We start from the raw sequence: 17,095 nt of genomic DNA on the forward strand, positions 1-17,095 counted from the left end.
AGCACTCATCACCTCGACTCTTTTTCACGGAGAGGGTGGGAGGGACTTCAGACCCACTTACGGAGTGCATCCTGCGCTGCCATCTGTCTTCTGGGTGTGTGACTGGGTGAGGGTGGGTCTGTACTCACCGTGCCTTTTTCATAGGGGTAGGTCTAGCCTGAGTGTTCTGTACACTGCTCTCCCAGGGAAGTGGGAGCGGGAGGTGAGAAATGTGTATCCTTTTAACATAAATTATCAGATGGGGCCCATGATGATGGAGCTCTAGTGATGTTGGGTGCCTTGGACCTTATCTAATCCAACCCCCTCATCTTATACACTGACACACTAAGGCCAAGGAAATTGGGAAGGCACTTCTTTATGGTCATATAGGAGGCTGGGGACTTAGGCCTAAACTTGGGATTCCTGACATCCAAGACACTAATGGTGTTTTTAGATCAAGTGAGAACATGGGCCTACAACATCAGCAAATGTCTGGTCACCTGTAAGGAGCAAGGGAAGTTTTATATGAGATTCATGTCCTTCACCAAACCGCTTCAGTTGTCTGTCAGAGCCAGGAGGATGGGGTGGAATACAGTTCAGAATAGGCAGGCTGAGATGCAGATATGGGGAGCCACAGCATGACAGAGAGAGCTGGGGTGTGTGCGGTGCAGGGCCAGGAGGCTGGGGCCAAGCAGAGGATGACCTGAGCTAGAGGAACACACAGTGGCCCGAGGCCCCTCCCACTGGGGAAGAGAGACCTCTGAAGTCCATCTGAGGGCCAACCCAACTTGCCTGTCTCCAGGGAGACCCCAGAAATCCTCAGAAGTGTAAGGGCTGGGACAGGGCCACCTGGCATGAGATGCCCAGCTCAGAATCCCAGGGCCTCGTCCTGCTAAGCTGAGCCCCCATCCTCAGAGCTCCCACCTGTGCCTTCCTCAGGATGGAGGTACAGGAAGGGGCCACTCTGCAGCAGCGGAGAGGGTGGTGACAGCTCAGCAGACACAGAGACATGGAGAGCAGGTGGGCTGTGATCGGACCAGGAGTCGGGAGAGAGACACAGTGATGCAAAGGACGCAGAGGGGGAAGGAGGCAGAGGCGGGTACTGCCCCACAGCCCCACCACCCCTGGGCGTGATCTCACCTGAGGAAGCCTAGAAGGAGTCTTCACGCGTCGCCTCCTCCAGGCCAGAGCTCAGCTTGGAGATGCAGAGGGGGAAGGGACCCTCTCCCTTCCTTCCCTTCCTCCCTCCTAGAGCCTAGGCAGGGCAGCAGTGGTGGGACCACCTGTTCTCACCCTCATCTGCGGTGGGCGGCGGAGGCCCCATGCCACAGGCTTGGTGAGGCTGAGTAAATCCTTGCTGCTGTGACCACCCACAGTGCTTCTGCTTCCTTCTGTATAATAGCTCCTCGGGGAGCTGCCAGCAATCAATGAGACAATACAAGCGAGCACTTAGCACAGTGCTGGCCCTGTGTGAGGGCTCAGTGAGTGGGAGCTCTAAGTACTAAATGTTGTCCCATCTCCGTGGTGCTTTGGACTTCCAGCACAGCATTCACAGACACACGTCCCTTCTCAGTTCATCCTCACACACTATGTGCAGTAGGCAAGGAATACGTTGTCTCCAATCAACAGATGAGGAAACTGAGGCGAGCCTGGGGAAAGTGGTCTCTGGTCACCCAGTGAGTTAGCAGCAGAGAGGATAAGAATTCAGCTCCCCTCAGTCTTGTGTGTTTTCACAGCTGTGTTTCTTACATAAAATACAAGAATGCTAACACAAAAAACAATAAAGCGAGAATTCTCACCTTATTTCAGAGTTGAGTAAACTATAATCATCTTCTTTTGTCTCCTAACAGCCCTGCTTTAAAGAGTCAAAGTATCAGAGAACGTTTAGTGCTAAAAGGAGCCTTAGAGACAGTCCCACTCTCTTTCATGAAGCACAGAGAGAGGACATCCTCACTTAAGGTCACACAGCACATTAGCAACTTAGCCAGGATTGGAACCTGGCACTGGTGTTCTTTCCTCTATAGCTGCTGCCTCCATAGGTCTTGGAACTTTTATCCCCACTTCAGAGTCTGGAAAACTCAGCTCACAGCTTGACTCCAATCCCATAGCACCACCTTTTTTGGGACTCTGCCTCCTCAGTGGTGGCTCTAGAGTCTGATATTTAGAATCAGCAGCAGCAAAAGGGAAGGGCCATGGAGCAAAAAGGTGGTGTGTTGGGAGTAATAAATTTTCAAAGAGTTTAAATTGCATTTCAGGGACTGATTCCTCTTGTTGGAGAGATTGGTTTGTGAATTCAGAATAGGATTGTTTAATATGCATTTCACATTTTAAATAATCATGGTTTTCTTAGAGCAGGGAGAAAAACAGGTCAAAAACACAAACTCATAGGCTTTTCTGAAAGGTTACAAAATAAAATGTTCTTTGCTGGAGGATATAAAGGAAATGGCTCTTGTTTGACAAAGGAGAGGGCTCTGCTAGATAAATTCTGCATTTATGAATAAATGAAAGCTCTCTCCCGCTCTTCCTGATCACCTTAATTCCTTGTTGCCTATCTGCAAATCCAATAATGCTGGTGAAACAAACCCCTCCTGGAGGCTGAGCACAGGGGCCTGAGCGCTCAGCCTCAGAACCACTCTTTCTATTTATAATCTCAGCCTGTGCTCCCCAGAGAGCTGGGCTTAGATGCCCCCTGGGCAAGTGGGCAAGAGGACTTGCTGGGAACAGAACCTTCCCCGGGTCAGAGACCCTGTACTCCAGCCCTGGGTCTCCCTGCCTAGGAAGCACTCAGCAAATGCCTCAGAATAGGTAAAGAGCAGGTAAAGAGCAGAACCGTAGTTCAGCATCATCCTTCCTGCACTTCCTCTGCTCCCTTCCAAGATAAATAACCAGGCTAAGAATTGCAGGTGTTTCTTGCAGCCAGTTGGCTATTGTCTTAGTGACACACCATATTACACTAGGCAACTGAGGATATGTCAACTCGTAAGGCGTTACTATATATATGGGTTTTTGTGGTTTTTTTTTTTACCAAATCTATTTTGTACCAATAGTGTGTGTTTATCGTCTGTCTTCTCTTAACATTGGGGGTGGGGATGTTGTCTGCACTGTTCAGGGATCACTAGGAGGTCTTAGGGGCCAAAGCTGGAGCTAAGAGGAGGTTCAAACACCTGGAAGAAGGGGCCACCTGGAATGGAGGATGTGGCCCCTAGGGTGGCAAAGCTGAGACACTGGACTGTGTCTCTCACTCTAGGCATCTTTGTATGAAACCACATATGTGTCAGCTGGTGGGGCTTTTTTATAGAGCATTATACTCACCTAAAATATTGTATTCCATCTGATAAATCCATTACTTTGTCATTAAAAATTCTCTATAAGGCTGGGTGCGATGGCTCACACCTGTAATCCTAATGCTGTGGGAGGCTGAGGCAGGAGGGTTGTTTGACTGAGGAGTCCAAGACCAGCCTGGGAGACATAGCAATACTCAATCTCTACAAAAGATTTTTTAAAATTAGCCAGGTGTGGTGGTTCACACCTGTAGTCCCAGCTACTCTGGAGGCTGAGGCAGGAGGATCACTTGAGCCCAGGAGTTCAAGGCTGCAGTGAGCTACAATAGCGCCACTTATACTCCAGCCTGGGTGATAGAGTGAGACCTCGTGTCTTTTTTTTTTTTTTTTTTTTTTTTTGAGACGGAGTCTCGCTCTGTCACCGAGACTGGAGTGCAGTGGCACAATCTTGGCTCACTACAACCTCCGCCTCCCGGGTTCAAGTGATTCTCCTGCCTCAGCCTCCCAAGTAGCTGGGATTACAGGTGCCCACCACCACGCCCAGCTAATTTTTGTAATTTTAGTAGAGACGGGTTTGCCATGTTGCCCAGGCTGCTCTTGAACTCCTGGCCTCATGTGATCCACCCACCTCAGCCTCCCAAAGTGCTGGGGTTACAGGCAGGAGCCACTGTGCCAGGCCAACCCTGTCTCATAAAAACAAAAATTCCCCATAAAGGATGCTTAGTGATCCATCCTATGAACACTGAATTATTTACTTAAAGGAGTCCTAATTAATAGACATTTTGTTTATCTTCCCCCAGCCAATTTCCCCTATTAGCAATAAAGTTTCCATCAGTATCTTTGTACATAAACTTTTGACTTCGTTTTCAATTTCCTTTGACTAGTTTTCTAGAATAGGAATTAATGAGTCAAAGGGCTAAGGCGCCCATCATCTGGTTTTCTCTGGAGGAAGGTAGTTCTCTGGGCTCTACAATGCTCATCTGCCTGAATCTGAATTTGAACTCTATCACTTCTTATCAGTGTGACTTTCAGCAGATTATATATAACCTTTTAGTTGCTTCATTTGTAAAATGGGGATTATAATAGTACCTACCTTGAAGTGTTGCTCTGAGGATTAAATGGGAGAAGTGATGTGTAATTGTTAAGTTGAATAGGCATAGGCATGACTCATGAGATGTAATCATAAAGCAAACTTTATTTTTGTCTCCCACAGTCTCTTTAAATTTATTCTATAGGGCTGTTTTCCCTTCTAAAATTATATTAAATTTAGGGTAAGTCCCATGACTTTTCTGACCATTTTCAGGTAACCAGAGGTTGTCTTGTCAGTAATTAATGCATCCTGTCTGCTGTAATAAAAAAAAAAATCTTGAAACGTCAGAGTTACACCATCTCTTTCCCAGCACGGTCTGCTGTAGGCCAGCTGCCTGTGGGGACCTTGCACATGACAGTCCTGACCCTTTCCAGGGTCCAAGGTGGAGGGGCAGGTAGGTAGGAGAGGAGATGGTTGGGAAAGGTCTTCAACGACTGTACTCTGATGAGTTGCTGTCCCGTTGTTCTCTGGGCCCTTTCTCTCACTGGGCTGTTTTTGTGGGTTGGTGGAGACCACCCCATCGCTGGAGTCTCACCCTGCACCTCCCTTGATGAGGGTGATACTTTCTCCCCGTAGCCGATCCTATGGTTTCTTTCTCAGGCTCTGGGAAACCTGGTCTCCCTCAGTGTCACCTCCTCCCTTGGAGGAGCCCTCTTGTCCTGGATCTAAGACAGTCACATCTGGCTCTCTTGCTGGGTGCTACCTCTGTCCACAAGAGACACTCATGTGTGCTTTGCCCTGCAAACCAGGGAGCACAGGCTGGTCCTGAAGCAGCAGCACTCTTGCTGCTCTTTGGATTTCTCCACTGTGGCACCAAGACCATTTTGGCCACATATCAACTGACTTAGGGGTCTCCTCAAGGCCCCACTGTCTGGCTTTGAGGTGAAGGTGATAGCACCCTGTACCCCTCCCATTTATTTGGGATCACTGGACCCCAAAGGCTGTCTCTGAAATTCATTCTAAACCTCCAACAACCTTTTTTCAACCTCTCTCCCATTTTGTATGCATTAGAGATGGGTGTCAGCTAATGGCATGGACCCAGGTTTTCGCCACCTCTTTTCCAAGAGGTGTATCCCACTTCACTTTGGAATGTGGTATCTGTTCATTTGGAGCCCCAAGTGGATCCTAGACTGGAAGCATCCCATCTCATCCTCCCATTGCCATATTTGTCTTTATGAAACACACAGAGGAGCACCTGGCATAGAGCATGCACTCAACAAATGATAGCTGTGTATGATCCAGGCTCACGGACTCTCTAGTTACATTCACCTCATAACCATTCGATCTGGTTTTATTCCTATTACTTTGTTTTATGCCCTATGCATTTTATGTTTCCTGTAGATTATGCTTTTGTGTGTTTGTGTGTGTGGAAATGATTTGCTATTATTTTCAGCAGTGATTTGGAAAATAGACATTGCTTTTAATTTTACTAGTGGTTGACCTACATTTTTTTTCAGACATTGTAAGCCTATTTATCTCAATCATCAACAGTGGTGCAATGGTCTTTGTATATTCTGCAGTTATTTAAATGGGAATTACAGAGGGCTTTATCTGGCCACCCATAGTTATGCTACCATCTTGCCATGATGTCTACCCACAGCTTCAAAATGGCACTTGACTCTGTTTTAGGGCTGGCTCATCTTTGTCCTGGACTTTACTCATAGCTGTCTAGCAGTTTGCCATACCACTAGCCTTTCTCCCGCAATCCTCCATTCTGCTCCCAATTATTTCTTTCTAAAGGTTACATCTGGGCAGATTATTCTTGGCTTAAAACCCTCTAGTGGTCCCCCACTGGGAACCACATCCTTAGAACAGAGTCTATAGGATATTTCCAAATTATAGGATAATTGCAAACGCCCTAGCTTGATGTTCAGGATGACATATGACCTGGCCCTGCCTTAACTTTCTAGGCCCATTTCCTGCCACACCGAACCATTCACCTATTGGTTGAATGCTGCCATGCTGGTTTGCACCTTGGTTTTCAAGTGCATTGGGCATGTACTCTCATGTCTGCGTAACTTTGCTCATGTCATCCTCTGTCTGTATGGCCCTTTGGTAAAAGACCCTAGCACAGTGCCCGGTCAATTGTAGAATCTCAGTAACTGTTACGTTTCCCTCTTCCTTTGTTATCAGCTTATCAATATCCTATTCATCTTTCAGGGCCCAACACAACTATCATCCTTTTCCACTCTTGGGAAGGCTTGTCCTAACCTTATCTCCCCCCTTCTAGGGACTTCCATTGACTGCCTCTTTTCTGTGTCCCCTTGCCCCCAGCACATTGTACACTTGTGTTGTAACACCAACACCTTAATGTAGGGTACAGTCATTATTTCTTCCTATCTCCCTTGCCAGACCGAAAGCTCCCTGAGAGCAGCCATGCACCTGACCCCCACTAAGGCCACTGCAGCCCTGCATCAGCCTTTGAGGGGCTAGTTGATGTTTGATTGATTTGAATTGCCTTCCTCAGACTGCAAGGTCACAATGCCAAGCCAACAGACAGGGCCCAATTTGAATGGATATCATTTATCATTCATATCCCTTTGCTTCCAAAATTGACTAGAGATGGCCCACACTCAATAAAAATGTCACCTTAAGTATAGCACATATAAGACTCCATATAGGTGGCTAAGTCCCAAAATGCTAACCTTCTTCCCTGGGTGAACTGATTCTGCTTGGGAGAGGGGGTGGCCCTGGGGTCCTCAAGCTCAGGTGGCAGATGTGAGGGTCTCTGTTGGGCTGCTTCACTCCCCATGCATTCCTTCACTCCCCCTCACAAACATTTCATCACCACGTTTGAAAATGCCTAAAATGCAAACAGGATGATTTAAATTCATAGCAAATATCTTACCCTTGCAGGATTTGGGCAGGTGGTGAGGGAGGCATGTTGGGATTGCTGTGTGGTGGTGTTTCAGTCCAGATAACCTTGTTCCTGGGGCTAAATTTGAAAAGCTTATGCCCTTCTTCGAGGGTCATGGTTATAGTGCAGTTGTAAAAATATAACTTTTGATCATGGCCTAGTATAATATACATCATATGACTTTCTGGAGTAGCTTTTTGATGGAAGCCAAGGACGTAAACTTAAAATGTCAACCACGGAAGTCATTTGAGTGGAAAAAGCCATCATGCATTCTGAGTAGAATGTTAACACTCATGCACTCCATAGAACTCGAAGAAGCACACACGTCATTCTCCTGCACGCGTACCATCCAACAAATGTTCTTGTGCAGTCCTGTTCAGACTGCAGGGCCATCTCTCACACACATACACACATTGCTGCGTACACTGAAACAGTCCTGCTGCCCCCAACTTCCCATGCACACACACACTCAAGGCATACACTGGCACACAGTCCCTTGTGTGCCAGTGTATGGGACTCACACAACCCATGTGCATACACACATGTACACACATACACACTCATATTCATGCGTACACTGGCGCTCAGTCCCACTGGCTCCCCCACATGTACACACACTCACACTCATGCATACACTGGCGCTCAGTCCCATGGTTCCCCCACATCCCATGTACCTATGTAACTTCTGCAGAAAGAGACTTGGAAAGCCATCTTACTTCTGCACCTCACTCTGCCTCCAGATTTTGCTCCCTTAGGACAGAGCCTAAACTGTCTATTTAATAGATTCAATTACTCCAGGCTCCTGAGACCTTCCAACTAAATTCTGATTGCTTTAAGGTGTCAGGTAATTTGGGAATAAAGGGAGGAAAACAGCTTCAAATTCTTGAAGGGAAAGTCTTTTAGACTCTAGCTGTCTCTGACATGGTAGCTACTAATTGCAACTCAGGAAGGGGTGGCCTGGAGGGCGCGGCCTCCAGGGGTCAAAGCTTCTGATCTCTAGGCAAGGTTCTGCCCTGAAGGACAGAGGCCTCTGGGGCAATGCTTTGCTGCTCTGCTGCGGTCTCCAGGGTAGGGACCAATCTCTGCTGCCCTTCCTGGAAGGCCAGCAGAGTCCAGGCCAAGCATCCCAGCAGGCAACAAAACAGCCCTGCTTTCTGCCTTCTGCACCCCACTCCCAGGTGTTTTATTTTGTCTGCTCTCTGTCCCCAGTGACAGTGACAGCTCTTGGAGGTTGATAAATAATCAGAGGTCATAGTGTTCAGAGAGCATCAATGTTGTGCCCGACAGAGATGGATCTGACCTGTCCTGAGCTCCAGAAGCCTGGAGAGAGAGGCCATGTGTGTGTGCATGCATGTGTGTAGGTGTGTGTAGGTGTGCGTGTGTGTGTGCATGTGTGTAGGGGTGTGTGTGTGTGCACTACATGAACTGTGATTGGCCAAAAGGAGGCTGAGGGTAAGTGCTGTAGACCCAGACCTTTTGTGTGTGAATGCTAGCTTCATCATTGACCAGCTGTGTGACTTTGGGCAAGATCCTTGCCTTCTCTGTGACTCAGTTCCTCTGCTGTGAAATGGGTATGCTAATGGTGCCTACCTTCTAGGGTGGCTATGAGGATTAAACGAATTATAATATGTACGTAGCACCTAACACAGCTCCTGACGCCCAGCAAATAATCCAAATATTGTGGGTTATTGTGTTTTATAATTAATGGGCAAGAGAAGGCAAGGCTGAAGGGCTGGGAGAGCCCTGGGGTGGGGGTCTGGCTGTAGCCCCAGGGCAGCAGGATGAGCCCCCTCCCTCAGCCCCCTTGGCTGTTCTCACACTCTCTGCGGGGCAGTCCTGACCGCCTATTTATCATCAGAAGATCCCCGCACAACACTCTTCTGGCGCGGTTGGCGCGGCAGAATCCAGGATGCACACGAGGACGCCCACGGGGCGTGTGGGGACCGTGCCCCTCCGCAGACCTCTCCCGGATCACCTGCTCCACACGCAGGCCTTGGTGACCCCTCAGCCTGCTGCTCCTTGCTTCCGCCCGCCCTGCTGTGGGTCCCGCACCTTCTCAGTGTGCCATGCCTTGCATTCAAGCTGGTCCTAGTCACAGCCAGGACCTCCTCAGCGCGCAGAGACTTTCAGATGATCTTTGTAGGGGTTTTTGCCTCCGGTCAACTGCGCCCCTTAGGAAGGGCTTTGGAGGACACAGATCACAGAACAGTTTCAGCTCCACCACTTCCTAGCTTTACGGCCTTGGGCATCTCAGCATTCCTATTCTCTGGGTTATAGGGATATGATGTTTGTCTCTCAAGGCTACTGTGGAGATTACATACTAGAAATTTGCAAGGGCTGGGAATGCAATAGACCGTAAATGTTCCCCTTCCCTTGACGCTATAGCTTAGATGGGAGGGAGCCACTGCTGAGGAAACACCTCCTTAACCCAAAGACAGAGGGTTCCCCAGGCGGGGGTGTGGGAACTCGGAGGTGGGGGTGAGGGAAGGCCAACCTCCACGCTTCGGCCCGGAGGTTCCCCCGCCTCTTCCTGCACGACTGGATTCCTTCTCCATCCGCGCCTCCGGCCCGGTCCCTGCCCCGCCAAATCCGCGCATCGGTTTCCCATCCCATAGCGCAGATAGGTAGGGCAGGTACACAGGGAGGTGTTCGAATGATCCCCGTTTCACAGAAGACGAAACTGAGGCTGGGAGGCCTGGGGACTGGCCCGGCTGCAGCGCCGCCGTTAGCCGAAGGTGGGAGCCGGCGCGGTCACGCGCATGGAGCGTGGATCGCGACGATTTCGGGGGAGGGGGCAAGGGCGCTCCGCAGGCCCTGAGCCGGCCGGGGGGTGGGGTCTCTGCGGGGCGGGGCGGGGCGGGGCGAGGGAGAAGGGGCAGGCCGCCGCTGCCACGCAGTACTCCCGCCTTGGCGCCAGAGGGGCGCGGGACGGTGCGGTCGGCCTCCCCGCCTCCACGCGCGCGCACGACCCGCGCACTCCCGGAGCTTCGCCCATCTCGCCTCGCCGCGCCGCGCAGGCAGCCGCTCGCAGAGCCAGCAGCCGGGGCCCTGGCGTGCAGCGCGGGCCTCGGCGGGGCCCAGCGCCCCGGCCCGGGAGGATGCGGCCCGGGGCGGCCCGGGAGCTGAGCAGGGCCCCCGCGCCGGCCCCTCCGGGCCCCGGCCTCCAGAGCCGCAGCCACCGCCCCGCCCCCGAGAGACATGACTTCCAAGCCGCATTCCGACTGGATTCCCTACAGGTACGCGGGCGCCGGGCCGGGGCGCCCACCACTCCCGACTCGGGACGTGAGCTGGCTGGGGATACGCGGCCGGGGCGCAGGGCACCGCTGCCCTCCCCACCTATCCCAGCACTGGGGCGCGGGTTGGAGTCGCTGGTCCTTCCTCCCTCAACTTTGAGGGCCCCTGCGGACTGCTCCCGCCTGCCCCGCTCCACCCCCTTATCTGCCAGGGTTGCTGGAAGGGGCCTGTGTGGGCCTTGTTGGGTCAGGCAGCACCATGTGGCCGCCTGGGGAAGGAGTCCACACTGCTCTGAGCCCCCTCCTAGGCCCAGAACCCCAGTCACACGCCTGTGCAGGGTGCGCGCACACGCTCATACATCTGCACGCATGCACCCACAGGACGTCCCTGCCTTGGGCCAAAGACGCTCCTGCTGGTCGGTTCACACTCTCAAAGCATGGATCCGTGAAGACAGTTATTCTGAACCAAGAGCACACCAGTGGTCATGTGGACATGCACCCGTATATTCTACACACAAGAATTCTTGGGCTCACAAAGACACATGCCTGCATATCTGTGCACGTCCACCTCCTGTATCTGGAGAATAACTGACACCTGCTTCTCACTCACAAGTGCTACTCAGTCTCTTTCAGACACTGAATAATCTACTTGCTAGCAGGTCTATACCTAGACACACACCAGCTCACAGTACATAGAACTGCCCTCACATGCAGAAAGGCACTCAAGAATCCAGGCACACTCAGGGAAGCCCCCCACCCTCTGCTGCCAGGCACTGTGGTCTATCTCAAGGATGGCTGGGCTTTCCCATTTGCCTGGGAAGGGGGCGGGGAGGTGGTCTCTGGGGGGCCCCTCACAGGTGCAGGTCTTTCCCTATCCACTCTACTCCATTCTATTACCAGGGAAGGGAGCTCATCGCCATGGCAGCGCCAGATTCTTGGCCACCCATTGGCTCCTTGGTTGCCATGGGCTACGGGGCTGTCTCTGTGGAAAATGGGTGCTGGACTCCTAAGGCCCACTGTGTTATTGTCGACCCAGGTGCACGTGCTAGCGGACGGCAGGATGAGATCCTCAGGTCCCGCCTTGTAACACAGCTTGCTCTCTGTTAGAGCCTCATACCAGTCACTGATAGAAAATAGTTCTGACAGGGCTCTTCTCTGAGTCTGTCCAGACAGCGTCCCAAATGGAAACCAGCTGAAACCGCCCAAGGCTTCTTAAAAGCAGATCCTTCTGAAAACAGGCACGTGGCCTGGGAACTCAGGGTTTCTCTTGAGAATTGTTACCTCTAATCTCAGCTCCTGTGGGGGATTCAGGGGTTTCCAGGTTATTTTGTGTCTCTCCCCACAACCACCAGCAACACCCTCACACGTGCGCACATACAGGTCACCCACAGGCTCTCCTGCAGACACATGTAGTCACACTTCAGTCTCACATGGATTAGGGAGCTGTTTCCATCATGGAACCAGGGACTGGGGCTGTGCTGACTGAGAAGAGCTGCTGCGCCAGACAGACGTCCAGGCTGGGGCACAGGTAGTTTCTGGAGGATCCTGGCCTTTCTTGGCACATGTGGGCTGAGGACCTTCTAGAAGACAGTGCAGCCCCATGGAGCGTCATCAACCTTTTCTAGCCACGCGGCAGAGGTGCCTGGGCGGTGCTTGTGGGCTGAGTGGACTCCGGTGCTGTGGAAGTACCTGTGTGCGGGGGTCCAGATGGCAGGGTGGTGGCCATGGACCGAGGAGGGTGGGAGGGGCAGCACTTACGGCTGTGGAGATTATGACGTGGTTAGGATCTGGCAAACTGGAGGTTGGGCCAGGCCAAGACATGGTTCTAGAAAGCTTCTCCCAGGGAGCCAGGGACTAAAGCCACTTGTAGAGAGTGTGCAGGGGTCTTAGAGAAAATATGCCTCAAACGGAATGGCTTAAGCCTGTTCCTGGGAAAGGTGGCCCAGGAAGGTAGAACTGTCTCTAGGAAATGATCCTGTTCTAGCAAGTGCCTAGGGCCCTGGCATCCTGCAAGGAGTGATTTGGCACTTGCCTCAGCCCAGGTCCAACTACTATCTCCCCTCCACCGCCACCCCTCCAATTCCTTTCCTGGGCCGCAGACTCAGCCCTGAAGCATAGAATCCTGCCTCCCTGGAAGCCTGGCCCCGAGGAGCGTCTCAACACCCTTATAGCCCTGCACTGCTTGCTTTCCCCATGCCTGTCACTCCACCTCCTCGTTCTGTTGTAGAGAGGGGGGTGTGTAGCTGGAGGCAGGCTATGTCAGCAGTTGCCAGGATCCCCCCTGCCCTGCTGGGGTCTTTCTGGGCACGCACTGAGTGTGGCAAAGTACTGGAACTGGGGTGCAGACTTCCAAAATGGGAGACTTGGGCTGAGAGGAGGAGATTCAAATTGCCTCTTGCATTAACTGGGCTGCTGATTGCAGTCAAAGCCACATGCTGTCTGATCACAGAGAAAACTGGGGCAGAAGACAGACAAAGCATTTTACTTGCAGATGGGAGTGGGGGCAGGGGGTGGCATGCACGTGCTTTGACTGGTGTGAGGTTTCCCTAATGTCACAGCATGTCAGAGCTGGAATGTGGCATTTGGTTTGGGAGAGAGGGGTTGGCTGGCTTCTTGCTGGTTCTGCTGGTGAGGGTTTTACTCCCTCTCTAATGGTTACACCTTGCATTCCCTGGGCCCAGCTTATTTTCTTTAGAGAAATGATAGTTGGTGATAATCTTCTTATGGGTAATTTTGGCTCAGTGTATAATGATCATGGATTAATCTCACATTCTGAGTTCAAAGGGAGCCATTGAGTTTATAAAGTTTAACAATTGGAATGTTTTTGTCTTTTGTTTCTGTTAGTACTAATAATTTCTAATTCTGCCAGTTTCTCTTTACCTGTGTTCTTGAGGAATATTAAATGCCCTTAGTACATTTACAGCCTTTTATAAGTTGTAAGTGGAGCAGTGAGAGTCAGGAAGGACTGCGGCCCACGGCGTATTGGAGGACTATGCTGGGTGGGATTGGGGTGGCCCCGTCCTCAGTGCCCTTGTCCTCATGGTCCTGAGGCCATTGCCTGGTGTTTCTCTCACTTGGTCATGAACTAATTGAGATCAGGGAACTTATCTGGTTCCTGGTCATGTCCCCAGCACAGACAAGACGTCCACTTCTTTGAATCAAAGTGGCATCCCGGGATAGCCTCTAGGGCTTCCTTGGCTTTCCCAGCCCCACACCTGGGTTCTAAGCACACCTGAGGGATACAGTACTCTCACATCACCATGGGACCTCCTGGAGCACTGCTTGAAAAGCATTCTGTAGGTCACAGAAAGAGAATCTCAGACTGGAAGAGCCTTTACAGGTCATCTAGTTCTCCGTGTGGATGCTCCCTGTAGCATCCCTGCCACACGGCCTCCCATCAGATGGCTGTGATTTCTTTCAAGTTCTTCCTTAGGTTGAACCTAAGCAAGTCTCCGGGTTCCCCCTCCTCCTGGCCCTTGTTAGGATCCTCCCACCACTTCCTTTGTTTTGTAGGGAGTAGTGGGACTCCTGACGCCTTCCGTTCTGCTGCTAGGTTCGGCCTCCGAGGTGCCCTGGGCACTTGGACCCACCACTTTACTTCTGGCAGCCTTATAACGACTCCCTGATTTTCTTGTTGTTCTTTAGAGATCACCAGCTGTGGCTCGTGGTCGCATTTGCATGGCTGAGCATTAGAATCACCCATGGCACTTGCTTTTACAAAGAGAGAGAGGAGTGGGTTGATTCTGGGGGATGTTCCCCAGCAGTTCTGAATGACCAAGTCAGGGCTTAGTCCCGCCAGCAGTTTGAATGCACCTGATACATTTGGGAACTGCTGGCTGGAATGGGGACGGCACATCCTGGGAGGCTGGAACTCCTGTGAGCAGTGTGGTCCTCTGCCTTCTGGAGCTGCACTGGTTCCCACTGTGTCCCAGTAAGCTGCCAGGCGACAGAAGCCACAGATCTGGACTTGCCGGGGGTCCAGGGTTGCAGCCAGGGGCACAGGGTTGCAGCCAGATGCCCTGGTGGCCTTTCCTCTCCTGACAGCCCACATCTGTGATTTCCTGGGTCCAGCAGGGGTAGCTTCCACTGTGACTGAGGGGAAAGAATGAGGGCAGGAAGAGGAGAAGGTGAAGTCAACATGGAAAGTGTGGCCAGAGGGTTGGGTCTGTCCCTAGATTCCCTGACCCCTGGGCCTCTGGTTAGCACTGATGGAGTAGCTGGAGCATGTAAGGTAGAGTCTCTGAAGAGAGGGAGTTCGGAAACAGGCTAGAGGATGTTGGCTGTGTGTGCTTTTCCAGGGCACAGAATTGTCCTTGTGTCCTTGCCCCTTGTTGTCAATCGTGGATGACTGCTCTGATATCTGTGGGGTGCCTTGGGGGAAGTGAGTGGATGTAGAGGGGCAGGTTCCCTGGGAGGTGAAGCTGCCACCTCGTTGGTGCTGGACTGAGCAGATGGATTGGTGGACACTGAAGCCTGGGTTTCTCTGCCCTCATGAGCCAGTGGCTTTCCTGAGCCTCCCTGTTCAGGCCCCCAGCAGGAGGTGCCCGTGATGTAGGAGACTCCAGGGTCAGCTGAAAGACCTATCCATCAGCGCCCTGTCTCTTGTCTGAGTCTCCTGGCGGGGCTGCAGCTGGCAGCCTGGGCTTGGCAGTTATTCCATAATTGGAGCTGAAGTCATTAAAAAACCATTACTGTCTCCTTGTGTGGTTATCGTTTAGGTCAGCCTAGAACAGGGCCCATCAGAAACAGGCAGGCTGGGGAAGCGTCGGTGAGAAAGGAAGATGCCTTAGGAATGGTGCTGGGGTGGAGATGAGGAGGAAGGGCCATCTGGGTGGGGGCGGAGAAGGGAACTGGGCCTATTGAGGAAGCCAGGGGAGCTTTTGGTGCTGCTCTTCCTGGAGACAGCCATCGCAGTTGCCCTTGGTCTCCACAACAGCTGCTGTTGGCTGGGGATTCTTTGTTATTCACCAGGGAGAGTTGTTGCGCACTTGTCGTTAGCTAGGAACACCCACCTGGTACAAGCTTGTCACTGCTAGGTAATCGTGGTCCCATCTCGTCCCCTTGCAGCTCTTCTAGAACACTGCTTTACCAGGAATCGTGCCCACTCTCAGAGCCTCCCCATTTTAGTAGATTTAGTGTAGACCCTCCTAGCTGGGTCTTGCTCAGCCAGGCACAGGTGGCTTCTCCCCGGTGGCCGCCCCCCAGCTGTGCATGCTCCTTTCCTTCTGTGTGCTTGCACATGCCCGCTGGTGGGTGAGGTGGTAGGTGGCTCTCTAGGTACTTTGGGGATGTCTGAGGTTTCTGGAGCCTCTTCAGTAGCCTAGCCCTTGTGTTCATCCATATTTCTCTGAAGGCCAGTGGTTAAGTCCTTTCTCCCTGTTATCTTACCTAGTAATCAGGGTCACCGAAGCCTGTGGCTCTTTATCATTCTCCCCCATCAGGAAATGGAGGTGGAGGCAGAGGAGGAGAAAGGAATGTTTTCATGGAAAGCAGCCTCCTGCCTCTGGCATAACTGTGCATAGTCCATGGCAAGTGGGATGGTGGCCTCTGGTAGGGAAATGTGCCCCCTGCATGGATGAGAGCATTAAAAGGCACTGGGCAGTGAGGCCACTATGGCTGGAAATACCTTTAGTCAGTTGAGCAGCTGCTGTGACCCAGCATTTCCGGAGGTGGCATTGCTGATGTGAGTCTTACCTCTCAGCTGGATGTCCCCTTTTCTAAATGACTCTAGATGTGAGCGTCAGCACCATGGAAGTCATCTTCTTTGTCTTGCTCAGCCAAGCCCAGGGCTGGGGATGGCCCAGGTGACTGCCCAGTCCCTGCCCTCTGAAAGTGTGAGTGGCTTGCGACAACCTAGAAAACTGTGGAATGGCCCCTCCTGCTGGCACAAAGGGAAGCCAGCACTGTCTTGTGGAGGTTGCACAGGGGCCAGGCCACTGGCTTATGACAGTGGGGTTTATAGCTGCCCTGTGCCCAGGCACAGAGCTTGGCAAGCGGAGGGAGCACAGTTGGATTCCAGACCCTGTTGCTCCTGTCAGCCAGGGGCCACTGTACAGAGCTTAGACTGCATTTTTCACGTGTGTCCTGAAAGTTGTGATGTGTATGCACTGTGCGTGTGGCTGACCACGGGGGACACTGGTGTTCGGGTCTGACCCTTTCAAGTCCGTCTGTGGGCAAATGCTTTGACTTTGCTTATTCAGTCAGGCTGTTGGCTTGAGCTGTAGAGATGGGAGGGTTGTAGCCTCTCAGGCCTGGCAGGGCCCTCAGGCATTTTGCGCTCTGGTCCTGAACCCTTTCTTCAGAAGTCTTCACTGCAGTCCTCCAGCCTGGGTGTGTGCCTTCCACAATGGGATGCCCAGCCTCTCAGCCAGCTGGAATATTTAGGGACCTGGTTGCATCCTGTGGTCCTGGCAATGCCCTCAGGGAGCCCCAAATGCAGCTGTGCCCTCTTAGGCAGATGGGCTGTTTCAAGAAGACCAAGGCCTAGAAGTATGGCTCTTGAGCGGTGTTTTCTCCTGTGCTCTGGCAGCTGAGGGTTTGGTGAATGAGGCTGTTGTGCACACAGCCCCAGATCACAGCTGGGGCTCCTCTGACATGCAGAGCAGCTCGTGGGTACAAGGAAAGACCTTCCCAGATGTCAAGTAGGCAGGACACC

The 17,095-nt window shown here is 52.0% G+C and overlaps 1 protein-coding gene across 10 annotated transcripts in view, besides 2 other annotated features; it reads left to right on the plus strand.

The window, feature by feature from the left end:
• TUB (TUB bipartite transcription factor) overlaps positions 1-17,095 on the plus strand; it is an 86,999-nt gene that overhangs the window by 51,861 nt on the left and 18,043 nt on the right. For 3 of the 10 annotated variants that reach the window (NM_177972.3, XM_047427514.1, NM_001440541.1), the window contains exon 1: positions 10,106-10,443. The exons of 5 other annotated variants lie outside the window; for them this stretch is intronic. In NM_177972.3, the coding sequence (NP_813977.1) occupies positions 10,406-10,443 (38 nt within the window). In that variant the 5' untranslated portion in view covers positions 10,106-10,405. Of the gene's footprint in view, positions 1-9,840; positions 9,943-10,105; positions 10,444-10,779; positions 11,969-17,095 lie in introns of those variants that run through there. 2 more of the 10 variants (XM_047427517.1, XM_011520344.3) reach the window with 2 other exon arrangements.
• Positions 1,059-1,835: an enhancer, noted in NCBI's record as "OCT4-NANOG-H3K4me1 hESC enhancer chr11:8093711-8094487 (GRCh37/hg19 assembly coordinates)". NCBI's record gives its function as "activates a minimal SCP1, AML or CMV promoter by ChIP-STARR-seq in naive and primed H9 embryonic stem cells {active_cell/tissue: H9 hESC(naive and primed)}" and the evidence as "EXISTENCE:reporter gene assay evidence [ECO:0000049][PMID:30033119]".
• Positions 12,057-12,620: an enhancer, noted in NCBI's record as "H3K4me1 hESC enhancer chr11:8104709-8105272 (GRCh37/hg19 assembly coordinates)". NCBI's record gives its function as "activates a minimal SCP1, AML or CMV promoter by ChIP-STARR-seq in primed H9 embryonic stem cells {active_cell/tissue: H9 hESC(primed)}" and the evidence as "EXISTENCE:reporter gene assay evidence [ECO:0000049][PMID:30033119]".

The sequence above is a fragment of the Homo sapiens genome, chromosome 11, assembly GCF_000001405.40.
Source record: "Homo sapiens chromosome 11, GRCh38.p14 Primary Assembly".
NCBI classification, from domain to species: Eukaryota; Metazoa; Chordata; class Mammalia; order Primates; family Hominidae; genus Homo; species Homo sapiens.